Here is a 13,252-nt window from a genome sequence, read left to right on the forward strand (position 1 = left end):
GTAGGTTCTGTCTCTTTATTAACTTTTGATTAGGTTGTTAAGCATATAATTAAGGGGAGAATTCCTATATGCAGGTCCAAGGAGTTGCTTGTTTTCTTTTAGCCTGAGGGTGGCAGTGGTAAATTCTCATGCCTGAAGATTATGCATCCTTCATATAGACCAGTGGGTATTTTTTCATAACCTGTAATATTAACTTCTTATTGCTAGTAATGATCCTGCATTCTGGGTTGTTTTATACCAGGCTTTCTTCGAGAGTCACCCAGCTCCTTCAGCTGAGCGTACCATCCAGCAGTGTTGTGAAAATATTCTGCTGAATGCTGCCTGGCTAAAGCGAGATGCTGAGAGCATCCACCAGTACCTCCTTCAGCGGAAGGCCTCACCACCCACAGTGTGAATCCTGAGGTGCCGCCATTGGCGGTTCTGCTGCTTCGCTGCAGGGATAAGGTGGAGCTACCGAACAGCTGATTCATATGCCAAGAATTTGGAGTCTTCTTTCAAACCAGTGGGGGTTGGACAATGAATGTAGTTAACTGGTTCCTGCTCACACTCCAGAATTAAATTCTATTGAAAAAGGAAAATCAGCAATTCAGCAAAAAATAAATAAAAAATAAAAATGTAAATATGATAGTAATAAAATAGAGCATAACGAAACTGTGAAACTTTCTGAAGCCTTGTCAGTGGTTAAAAGTATTTAACACTCTACTGTTAATGACAGATGTTCTGTTTTTATAACCTACCAAAAGGAAACTAGAGGCTTCTTGGTGAAGAGCATTTTTGTGAAGTGGGTTCTGCAAGGAGCCTATAAAGCCAAGGGTGGTGTCCATTTCTGGGAATGGTTAAACACAAAAGGCTGATAGCTGGTATCACATAGTTGGAGTCAGTGCATAATTCCAAGTGGCTTTTTTTTTTTTTGGCACGGGGACTGATCAGGAAGATATATTCCTGCATAACTCAATCTGAACCAAGGATTGTAGTTTAGTTTTCCTCCTTGCCTTCCCTTCTGTGTGACCGACCCCTTGGCCAAAAAAAAACAAAAAGCAAAAAACAAAAACCTACCCTGTTCTGGTTTTTTTCCTCCCTTTAGTTCCACCCCCAACCCCCATTCCCTGGTGTCCTTCTTAGAGATGAAGAAATAATAAGGAAACATCTTTCATAGCCACATTAAATAAGAGAAACTGATATACATTATTTTTTTCTTTTTAAAGATGACTTATAAGAACCCTGAAATTTATATAGGTGAGACAATAGAAATAAAAAGATCTTCAGCCAGGCCTTTCTGAAGGAGTTATTCTGCTAAAAATGGTCTTAGTTGTCTGAAAAGCCAGCTCTTGAACCTCTTCACAACAGTATCAACACTGGCTTCTCCCGGTTCATTTTATGCGTGCGAGAAGTCAGTGGTAACTGCTGCAGGGCTTAATACATTAGTGGTAACTGGTTTAAAAAACAAAGACTGTAAGCCTGTGTGTGCCACTGTTTGCTTCAACAGTATATCCTAATAAGCCTCACCTATTTAATCCAATGAGTTTTAAATCTAAATCTCATTCCCTTCTTCTTTCCCTACCTTTTTTTTCTTTTTTTCTTAAAAAAATATTTTGTGTTATTAACAGAAATTCATATTTGGTGTGGCTTAACGGTATTTCAGAAGGTCATCAGATTGTGAGACTGCTTCCTTGAAACATTTTTGTGCTATTGTTTTAAAAAAATAATTAAAAAACAGTTGGCGTTAATAAAAATGTCAATGTGAAACTGATGTCCTGATTCACTTTATTCTCTTTCTTTGATAAGAAACTAAAAACTTTCCTATCATTCAGTAGGCTTATGCAAAGTTATACTATCATAGGATTTTTCAAATTCAAAAAAAATCCAGTTCCTTAATTCCTAATTTATAGATCTTAACAGAAAAATCCTGAGATTCATTCTAAATCAGTTCTACATTCTCAAAACTCTCTCAGAGACTCTTATAGTCAGCATTCAGGAATGAACTTGAGACTTCCTCAGTCCCTAGTTTTGAGGCACCCTAGTTCAGGCACCATGCTCAGGGCTGCCCTTAGGCTCTCAAATGTTCTTAAGGCACCAGTGAAGCAGGGGCACCAAAAAGACTGAGAAAAATGCAGGTTTAATTGAAGAACTCAGAATTTTGCAATCAGAAATTCTGGAAACAGGTTATTTTACTTTCAGCATACATGTGATTTTTGTCTGTAATAATAGTTAAGTAGTTTGAATTACGTTCAGGGAGAGGTTATACTAGATGTCTTCCATTTGCCTTTCAGAACCCCTCTTCATCCCACTCTGGACCCCAGCGGGTGCTGACCCACATGGACTGCAGCATGAATGGCTCCCTTGCCCTCTGACTTCAGCTTCTGTTTATCCAATTATTAATATCCAAAGAAGATGAGAAGATATAAGGAAGAGATGGTCAGAGTACTCTGGCTTTCTCATTGCCAGGTCACATGGGTTGTCTGTGTCCCTTTAGCAAAGACCACAGCTCTTACCAAGCAGCCCCCTCTAGCTTCTGGCTCCTTCTCTTTGCTCCTTCACATCTAGGAATAGAAAGAAAGGAGAACTCGAGAGCTGGGTGCGGTGGCTCACGCTTGTAATCCCAGCACTTTGGGAGGCCGAGACGGGTAGATCACCTGAGGTCAAGAATTCAAGACCAGCCTGGCCAACATGGTGAAACCCCGTCTCTACTAAAAATACAAAAATTAGCTGGGCATGGTGGCGCATGCCTGTAATCCCAGCTACTCGGGAGGCTGAGGCAGGAGAATTGCCAGAACCCAGGAGGCAGAGGTTGCAGTGAGCCAAGACCGTGCCACTGCACTCCAGCCTGGGCAACAAGAGTGAAACTCCGTCTCCAAAAAAAAAAAAGAAGACTCAAGCTGGGTGCGGTCACTCACACCTGTAATCCCAGCACTTTGGGAGGCTGAGGTAGACAGATCACCTGAGGTCAGGAGTTTCAGACCAGCCTGGTCAACATGATGAAACCCCTGTTTCTACTAAAAATACAAAAATTGGCCAAGCATGGTGATGCATGTCTGTAATACCAGCTACTTGAGAGGCTGAGGCACAAGAATTGCTTGAGCCTGGGAGGCAGAGGCTGCAGTGAGCTGAGATCGTGCCACTGCACTCCAGCCTGGGCAACAGAGCGAGACTGTCTCAAAAAAAAAAAAAAAAAAAAAAAAAAGGACTTAGTTACCAGCCCTGGATTACGCCATTATTCTTCATTGATTTTCCTGCACTCTGTCCATGTCTCTGTAAATAGTCCTTTATTAAACCTTCCTCAGTTTGTGTTCTTTCCTACCAATACCTTGAGTGATTTGGGCACAATAGCCCTGCTGCTTTGGGTCTCTAAAGGTTTTAATTCAGCCTTTTCTGTGTCAGATGTTTTGTTTTTCAAATAGCTCCCTATCATAAGTCATACACCCATTTTACAGATGAGAATGCAGACTCAGAAAAGTAAGGCAAATTAATACAGCAAAATAACTATCAACCAGTGATCAAGCCAGGTTTGCTAGTCTCCAAAGGCTGTGGTCTTTCAGGGAACTGCCATGTCTCCACAATTAAAAGATCATAGTTAGACTGGGCCAGGCAATAGCATTAAAGCTTAATTACTTTTTCCTAATATATTTTGGTTACAAATTTTAGTGGAAATCAGAAGGTTTGGAAGAAACAAGTATGTTAATGCCTCCTATGGAGAGTTTTACATTATTTTTCATTAATGAGATTCAGTAAAGCTTTTTGGAACAGTGGGCAGTGGTGGGGTGAATTCTCAACTTGCAATTTCTAAGGATAGGTTTTAGGGAGCAAGGAATAAATCTGTTGAGTACAACTTGGGGAGGATTAAGAGGAGTTCTATAGCTCTAAATAGATTCTTCAAATTCTATAACCCAAAAAGTTTCCAGAATTACCAGAAAGACATCATGGAGCCACATGTAAGTGCTAATGTTTTTTGTTTTTATTTTTTAGCAAGTTATTAAATAAAAGCAAGTGGGCCGGGCACAGTGGCTCATGCTTGTAATCCCAACACTTACCAAGGCAGGTGGATTACCTGAGGTCAGGAGATCAAGACCAGCCTGGCCAACATGGCGAAACCCCGTCTCTGCTAAAAATACAAAAATTAGTCGGTGTGGTGGTGCATGCCTATAATCCCAGCTACTCGGGAGTCTGAGGTGAGAGAATCTACTTGAACCCAGGAGGCAGAGGTTGCAGTGAGCTGAGATTGCACCACTGCACTCCAGCCTGGGTAACAGAGCAAGATTCCCTCTCAAAAAAAAACAATTAATTTTAAAATAAACAGGCCAGGCGCGGTGGCTCACGCCAGTATTCCCAGCACTTGGGAGGCCCAGGCGGGCAGTTCACCTGAGGTCGGGAGTTTGAGACTAGCCTGACCAACATGGAGAAACCCTGTCTCTACTAAAAAAAAAAAAAAAAAAAAAAAAATTAGCCGGGTGTGGTGGCGCATGCCTGTAATCCCAGCTACTTGGGAGGCTGAGGCAGGAGAATTGCTTGAACCCGGGAGGCGCAGGTCACAGTGAGCCGAGATCGCGCCATTGCACTCCAGCCTGGGCAACAAGAGCGAAACTCCATCTCAAAAATAAAATGCATAAATAAAAATCCAAGCTTTTGGTAATATGTTTATACTGCTGAATCTATACTTACAGCGTCACTCTTGACTGAAAAATATATTGCTTGATAGAACTGAATCTCTTCCTTTACTAGATACTAGTTTTAGGGTTTCAGAGTTGGTTTTCTCTAAATAAGAGTATTTGTGACAATGCAAAATACCCACCCAAGAAGGACCGTGCCTTCTTGTACCAACCCTGGTGCAAGCAAAATGATTGAGGTGTTTGGTTTCAAATGCAAGAATAAGAGCCTTGATGTTAACAAAACATTGAGCCGAACAACTGCCTTCCCTAGGAAACCAAATCAGAGGACTGGTTGTTCTACCAGTTTGATGGCCAGTGTTGTGATAGGTGACAGTGTCAGGTGAAGGAAAGTCAAGTGAGTTGTTACTGCCACTTACAAAGACCTGTGATTGCTCCTGTGATTCCACTGCAAGTATATGGCAGCTGTAGCTTTCACTACTGGGCTTCTGTTTCCAACACTGGGGAGGAATTGGCAGAGAATGAACATAGTTTACTGTCATGATCTGTGCTTTCTCAGGGAGGTTGTAGCAGCTAACAGCAGATATACTATACATCAATTAAGATGACTACCAGGAAGAAAAAAATAATCCTTGCCGTGGTTTGGCTGACAGTACCAATATGGTCCTCTGAGACATCCCCTACCCCTACTCTAACCACCTTTAACCTTCATCACCAATTTGACAAATTTTACAGGTGTATTACGTTACACTGCAATTCTGGGCAACTCTTAATAGGGCACTGATTACCTTGCATTATTTGTACTCATCTGGACATTCTCTTCCTTAATGTTTATTAGCCTGTACTTTTAAAGTTAAGCAGGGGGCCAGGCACCGTGGCTCACGCCTGTAATCCCAGCACTTTGGGAGGCTGAGGCAGGCGGATCACTTGAGCCCAGGAGTTTGAGACCAGCCTGGACAACATAGTGAAACCCCATCTCTACAAAAAATACAAACATTAGCTGGGTGTGGTGGTATGCTCCCGTAGTCCCAGCTACCTGGGAGGCTGAGGCAGGAGAATCGCTTGAGCCCAGCAGGAGGTTGCAGTGAGCCGAGATCATGCCACTGCACTCCAGCCTGGGTGACAAGGCAAGACCCTATCTCAAAAAAATAAAAAATAGTTAAGGAGGTGCAGGCATGGTAGCTCACACCTGTAATCCCGGCACTTTGGGAGGCCAAGGTGGGAGGATCACTTGAGCTCAGGAGATTGAGACCAGCCTTGGCCACATGGTAAAACTCCATCTCTACTAAAAGAAAAAAAATTAGCTGGGCATGTTGGCATGTGCCTGTAGTCCCAGCTACTCAGGAGGCTTAGGCTGCACTGACCTATGGTCACACCACTGCACTCCAGGCTGGGTGACAGTGAGACCCTGTCTCAATAATAGGGCCGGGGGGGTGGCTCATGCCTGTAATCCCAGCACTTTGGAAAGCCGAGGTGGGTGGATTGCTTGAGCTCAGGAGTTCAAGACCAGCCTGGGCAACATAACGAAACCCCGTCTCGTTATACAAAATACAAAAAAATTAGCCAGGCATAGTGGTATATGCCTGTGGTCCCAGCTACTCAGGAGGCTGAGGTGGGAAGAGGATCGCTGGAGCCCAGGAAGTTGAGGCTACAGTGAGTCAGGATGGCACCACTGCACTCCATCCTGGGTGAGAGCAAAACCCTGTCTCAAACAAACAAAAATAATAGTAATAAAAATAAGGAGAAGAAAAAATCAGTATGTGGAGTGGCTATTAGGTTAGTGGGAGAAGTCTCAAGAACACCATACAAAATAATAGAAGGGAGATGGAAGGAAACAACTTACAAGAAAATGTACAAAGCACTTAAAATATTTGAGATGAATGAGAATGGATGAGATTGCTGTTGCTTTTCTAACAGGTCAATTTCCTCTTCTATCAGCAGAGCACTTGTAAGTCAGAATGTAAAGGGATGTGATAGGATGAAGTTAATACTGTGCCCTCTACAAGTGTAAAGAAGTTCTTTGTTTTCTTCTTTTTTGTCTTGAGATGATCTCTTTGTCACCCAGGCTGGAGTGCAGTGGTGCGATCCTGGCTCACTGCGCAGTGGTGCGATCCTGGCTCACTGCAGCCTTGAACTTCTGGGCTTAAGGGATCCTCCCACCTCAGCCTCCTGAGTAGCTGGGACTAGAGGTGTGTGCCACCACACCCACTAATTTAATTTGTTAATTTTGTGGAGGTGGGGTTTCACCATGTTGCCCAGGCTTGTCTCGAACTCCTAGGCTCACGTGATCCCAAGTTACTGGGATTACAGGCATGAGCCATCTTGCCCCGCCTTAGTTCATTTTTTTTTTTTTTGAGATGGAGTCTTGCTCTGTTGCCCAGGCTGGAGTGCAATGGCGTGATCTTGGCTCACTGCAACCTCCGCCTCCCAGGGTCAAGCGATTCTCCCACCTTCAGCCACCCAAGTAGCTGGGCTTACAGGCATGCACCACCTGTCTGGCTAATTTTTGTATTTTTAGTAGACATGAGGTTTCGCCATGCTGGCCAGGCTGGTCTTGAACTCCTGACCGCCCACCTGGGCCTCCCAAAGTGCTGGGATTACAGGCGTGAGCCACTGCGCCTGGCCTCTTAGTTCATTCTTATAACAGTAACAGAGTAGACAGACTATTGGATAAACAACGAAATAGTACATGACTTAGATCTCTTGGCTACCAAACCTGGCCTTCTCTTAATTTCTTACTCTCAGCAAATGGAAGACCTATGTGACCAATACAGTAGCTACTAGCCATTCACAGCTATTTAAATTAATTAGAATTAAATAAAAAGTTGCTTGGGGCTGGCTCATGCCTGTAATCCCAGCACTTTGGGAGGCCAAGGCAGGTGGATCACTTGAGTTCAAGACCAGCCTGGACAACATGGTGAAACCCCGTCTCTACTAAAAATACAAAAATTAACCAGGCGCATGCCTGTAATCCCAACTACTAAGGAGGCTGAGGCAGATGAATTGCTTGAGCCCAGGAGGCGGAGATTGCACTCCATGCCACTGCACTCCAGCCTGGGTAACAGGGCAAGACTCTGTCTCAAGAAAAAAGTTGCCTGGTTGCACTAGCCACAAATCAACTGCGCAGCAGCCACATAAGGCTAGTGGCTACTGTATTGAACAGCACAGATATAAATCATATTCATCACTCAGGAAAGTTCTATTGGACCACCCTGAGCTACACCTCATATATCCAAGTGTATTTTTTTGTGTATCACTGAAAGTAATAGCTTGGGCAACATGGTGAGACTCTGTCTCTACAAAAGATTGAAAAAATTAACTGAGTGTGGTAGCACACACCTGTAGCCCCAACTGCTTAGAAGACTGAGGTTGGGAGATCACTTGAGTCCAGGAGGTGGAGGCGGCAGTGAGCCATGTTCGTGCCACTGCACTATAGAGCCTGGGCAACAAAATGAGACCCTGTCTCCAAAAAACAAAGTTACATTTTTACTAATCTTGTAACAAATTGCTGATCACCTAAGAACATTTTATCACTAACCCCTATTCATTTAAAATTTTATTTTTCATGAATGTAATACATGTCGTATTCATTTTCCAAAAATTGAAGGAAAAAAAAGTGACTCTCTTCTTACAAACTCCTCTACGTTTTTATACTCTATGCATTTTGAATATTTTTAGTAATGAAGATAGGCTGTGCCTCCTTCACTTGTCTGACCACGTAACCAGTGCCACGTGTTTTCAGTCTTTGCTGTATGAAACTAAATGTGCCATGCTCAGAGCTGCCACCCGTGTCCTAAGTCACGAAGCTAATCACCAAAGACTACTTGTGAACAAAGTAACAGCTGGCAAATGCATACCTTGAGAAGTGTTTCTTCCTTGTTTAGAGTCACTGGTTCATGAATGTTTTCCAGCCTGACTTCCTGATGTTAAATGCCAGTTTTGTGGACTGCACACATTTGAAGAACGTGACTTTAAGTTCCTGGTTCAATTAGTTTAAGTGGCTCATGTAATGAATTCACTCAATGTACTTCCCTCACTGGAGATGTGAACTGCACTATATTTGGAACTAACACTTGCAATCCTATACACTGTTGCCTGGGTGTTGAGCTACAAATTTTGGTTAATATCACCATTAACTAGATTCAGGAAGTTATATGATGATGAATTTCACAAAGATTTTGGTGAAGAGAGATGTGACTGGTTTGAAAAAAAGGGGGGTGAGGGTATTCTTCTCATAGGTTCCCAATGTGCAGGGACTTCAGCTTGCTGACACTGTTGAATGAGGCCATGCGTTCCTCCCACTGGGGCTTGCTTACCTGCTGACACCTGCCACGCCAGCCTGAGCAACTGTGTTGCCCTGACTCCTAGGCTTACCCCTGTTAACTTGGTGACTACACCTCACTGCTTCCAACAAATAAAACAAATGTGCCATCCATCCAGAAATGCCCCAAGTGTGCACTAAACCCAGGAAAGACCTGAGATAGGAATAATCTAGGTAGCTTTAAATGTTCCTGTTCTCTAGGATCCAAACTTAGCCATCCCCACTAAGATGCTGGGCAAACGTTCTCATTGGTACATAAGCATCACAGAAGGCTGGTGAGAAGGGGACCAGCCTTTTCTAGTCATTATCAAATAATACAGCAGCACTGTGCTCCAGCCTCACAGGCTGCTATCTGATGGGACGGGTGTGCATTTTGGCCACTGATCAAAAGACCTTGGTTATCACAAGAACCTTATCAGAAAAGCCCCACAGCATTAAACCTGAGTGCAGTATTCAAGGCAAGGTTCTGATGGATTTGTTCAATGGCTATGGGATTCAGATGGCAGACACTACATAGTTGCAAAAGCTTTTACTGCAGAAGGAAATGCCTATTATACTAGATATTGAGGCTACAGTATCAAATAAGGTAGACTTGGTCTCTGCCCTAATGGAGCTTACAATCTAGCAGCGACAAGAGATATCGAATGAGTAATTTTAAGTGTGCCAACTCTGGAGTGGGAAGTTTAGTGTGCTATACCAGACAGTTCAAAGTAGCCTGAAGGTTCAGGAAAGTCTCCCTGGAGAAATGTTAAACTGAAACATGAAAGATGAGTAGTTGCCAGGCAAAGAGGAGAGAAAAAGTGTTATTAGCAGAAGAAACAGCATGTGCAACGGGCCTGTAGTTAGAAGGAAGCAGACCTATTTAAGAAAGCAAAAGAGGGCTGGGCGCGGTGGCTCACGCCTGTAATCCCAGCACTTTGGGAGGCCGAGTCAGGCAGATCACCTGAGGTCAGGAGTTCGAGACCAGCCTGGCCAACATGGTGAACCCCCGTCTTTACTAAAAATACAAAAAAATTAGACAGGCATGGTGGCGGGCGCCTGTAATCCCAGCTACTCGGGAGGCTGAGGCAGGAGAATCCCTTGTACCTGGGAGATGGAGGTTGCAGTGAGCCGAGGCAGTGCTATTGCACTCCAGCCTGGACAACAAGAGCAAAACTCTGTCTCAAAAAAAAAAGCAAAAGAAATCCAAGATGGGCTGGGTGCAGTAGCTCATACCTGTGATCCCAGCGCTTTGTGAGGCTGAGGTGGGAGGATCGCTTAAGCTCAGGAGTTCAAGACCAACCTAGGTAACATAGTGAGACCCAGTATCTACTTAAAAAAAAAAATTAGCTAGGCGTGGTGGCATGCGCCCATAGTCCCAACTACTTGGGAGACTGAGGTGGGAGGATCGCATGAGCCCAGGAAGTTCAGGTACATGAGATGTGGTCCAGCCACTGCACTCCTCCCTGGGTGACTGAGCAAGACCCTGTCTCAAAAAAAAAAAAAAGAGGATACTCGGCCGAGCACAGTGACTCATACCTGTAATCCCAGCACTTTGGGAGGCCGAGGCGAGCAGATCACCAGGTCAACAGATCGAGACCATCCTAGCCAACATGGTGAAACCCTGTCTCTACTAAAAATATAAAAATTAGCTCAGCATGGTGGTGCACGCCTGTAGTCCCAGCTACTTGGGAGGCTGAGACAGGAGAATTGCTTGAACCCAGGAGGCAGAGGTTGCAGTGAGCTGAGATCGCAGCACTGCACTCCAGCCTGGCGACAGAGTGAGACTCCATTTAAAAAAATAAAATAAAATAAGTCTTATTAGCAGAAGAAACAGCATGGTGCAGTGGCTCACGCCTGTAATCTCAGCACTTTAGGAAGCCAAGGCAGACAGATCACCCAAGGTCAGGAGTTTTGAGACTAGCCTGGCCAAAATGGCAAAACCCCGTCTCTACTAAAAATACAAAAAAATTAGCCAGGCGTGGTGGTGCACATCTGTAATTCCAGCTACTTGAGAGGCTGAAGCACAAGAATCGCTTGAATCCGGGAGGTGGAGGTTGCAGTGAGCCAAGATAGTACAAGAGCGAGACTCTGTCTCAAAAAAAAAAAAAAAAAAAAAAAAAAAAGATACTGGGGAAAAAAAAAGAAACCCAGGAGAACAGAAAGCTCTTGGGAAAGTGGTACAAGAGGGGTCTGGAGAAACAGACTAGAGCCAGGCTGGCAAGAACTTGGGCCTTGTTAAAGATTCAGAACTCGGCCAGGCATGGTGGCTCACATCTGTAATCCCAGCACTTAGGGAGGCAACGGTGGAAGGATCACTTGAGCCCAGGAGTTCAGGACCAGCCTAGGAAACATAGTGTGACTCAATTCTCCAAAAAAAGTAAAAATATTCAGGACTCTAACTAAGGAACAATGGGAGAACATCACATTCCTCACCTGTAAAGTGGGAATAATAACAACAGTTATCTCATAGTTATCAGGGAGCAAAATGAGAATAATACAAATAAAAGGTCTTTTTAAGTTATAAAGCATTATAGGAATACTACTAAGATTATATTATTAGTAATAAGAAGTTGTGCTGCTTTCTTAATAGAACCCAAGAGTTCAAATCTCCTCATAATGGGAATATGAAATACCCTCTAAAACCCTGACCTGCTCCAGGGAACTGATGGAAAGGTCATAAGTTTATTTCAGTTGAAACTTCCAGTGTGAGACTTATGAAGCCTGGGGGTGAATGCAGCTCTTTGGAACAGGATCACACCATTTATGGCAATGTGGATTTCTCAGCTCTACACCAACTCCCTGACACCGCTTTCAGAAAAGATCATTCTGCCTCCTTCTCAAACCCACCAGAGCAGAATCACCAAAGCATTCTTGCCTCTTGATTTTTTTCTTTTTTTTTTGAGACAGAGTCTCACTCTGTCGCACAGGCTGGAGTGCAGTGGTGCGATCTCAGCTCATTGCAACCTCCGCCTTCTGGGTTCAAGCAATTCTCCTGCCTCAGCCTCCCGAGTAGCTGTGACTACGTGCGCATGCCCCCTTGCCTGGCTTATTTTTTCTATTTTTAGTAGAGACGGGGTTTCACTGTGTTAGGATGGTCTCGATCTCCTGACCTTGTGATCCGCCTGCCTCGGCCTCCCAAAGTGCTGGGATTACAGGCGTGAGCCACTGCGTCCGGCCACCTCTTGATTTCTTATAGCCAAAGCTCAAGCCCAGCATCTTTTTTTTTCTTTCTTTTTTTTTTTTTTTCTGACAGTCTCACTCTATCGCCCAGACTGGAGTGCAGTGGTGCGATCTCCGCTCACCGCAACCTCCGCCTCCTGGGTTCAAGCAATTCTTTTGCCTCAGCCTCCTGAGTAGCTGGGACTACAGGCATGCGCCACCATATCCAGCTAATTTTTGTATTTTTAGTAGAGACGGAGTTTCACCATGTTAGCCAGGCTGGTCCTAGCTCAGCTTTTATAGCAGCTGCCATCATTCCAGAAATGTTACACTCTGAGCTGTTCATGGCAAAATCATCATCCCAATTGGTGCCTGCTTTATTACACTTTAGGAGAAATTCCACCTATTTCCAAATATGTGATACTTTATTCTTGCAATGGTTCCGAGTAGTAGGCACAACAAGTAGTCAAATTTCACAGAATGGATGAGAAACCTGGAGTTTACCTCTCCAGACCAGCCCTGACATGTCACCATGGAGAAACATAAGGGCTCATTTTGGGCCATTTCCTCTCTGCCTGCAAAATATGAAACATTACCCAAGTATAGGAGGGCAGAGCTTCTGCCCAGATAGGCATGTGATTTACCATTACCACAACCCTCTTGCTAACTGTGAGTAGAACAAACTAAACACAGTTCTTCCCCAGAGAGGTCACTGACTACTCTAAATGTTCTATAGTACTATACCCCAGAGGTTGCAAACTTGCATTTTTTTTCTTGACCTACACAATGCTTTCAAAGTCTTTTTGAAATTTTATTTACTTATTTATTTTATTTTCTCATGTGGCCAGTGGGTGGGAAGACCAAAAACCCTCAATCTGCTTGAAAATTTCCATTCCAGCTTTAAAAAATCGAGGTATTTTAAATAAAAATCCAGATTACCAGCTTTTCTTGAAAAATCACCATCCAGCACAGCAGCTCATGCCTGTAATCCCAGCATTTTGGGAGGTCAAGGCGGGATGATTCCTTGCTTGAGCCCAGGAGTTCGAGACCAATCTGGGCAACATAGCACAACCTTGTCTCTACAGATAATTTAAAAATTACCCACAGGGTTGGCTGGGCGCGGTGGCTCAGCCTGTAATCCCAGCAATGGGGAGGTGGAGGTGGGTGGATCATCTGAGGTCAGGAGTTT

The 13,252-nt window shown here is 44.0% G+C and overlaps 1 protein-coding gene and 1 long non-coding RNA gene across 9 annotated transcripts in view; one reads left to right on the plus strand and one right to left on the minus strand.

Moving 5' to 3' along the window:
• The window catches only part of NPEPPS (aminopeptidase puromycin sensitive), a 100,344-nt gene extending 98,594 nt beyond the window's left edge, over positions 1–1,750 (plus strand). For all 6 annotated transcript variants that reach the window (NM_001330257.2, XM_017025373.1, NM_001411130.1 and 3 more), the window contains one exon: positions 242–1,750. In NM_001330257.2, the coding sequence (NP_001317186.1) occupies positions 242–394 (153 nt within the window). In that variant the 3' untranslated portion in view covers positions 395–1,750. The remainder of the gene's footprint in view (positions 1–241) is intronic.
• The window catches only part of KPNB1-DT (KPNB1 divergent transcript), a 27,902-nt gene continuing 14,650 nt past the window's right edge, over positions 1–13,252 (minus strand). For 2 of the 3 annotated variants that reach the window (NR_171700.1, NR_171701.1), the window contains exons 3-4: positions 5,021–5,101; positions 1–561 (exon numbers count right to left, since the gene is read on the minus strand). This is a non-coding gene — a long non-coding RNA (KPNB1 divergent transcript). Of the gene's footprint in view, positions 2,541–5,020; positions 5,102–13,252 lie in introns of all 3 variants that reach the window. The other variant, NR_171699.1, reaches the window with a different exon arrangement.

Source organism: Homo sapiens, chromosome 17 (assembly GCF_000001405.40).
Source record: "Homo sapiens chromosome 17, GRCh38.p14 Primary Assembly".
Taxonomy (NCBI): Eukaryota; Metazoa; Chordata; class Mammalia; order Primates; family Hominidae; genus Homo; species Homo sapiens.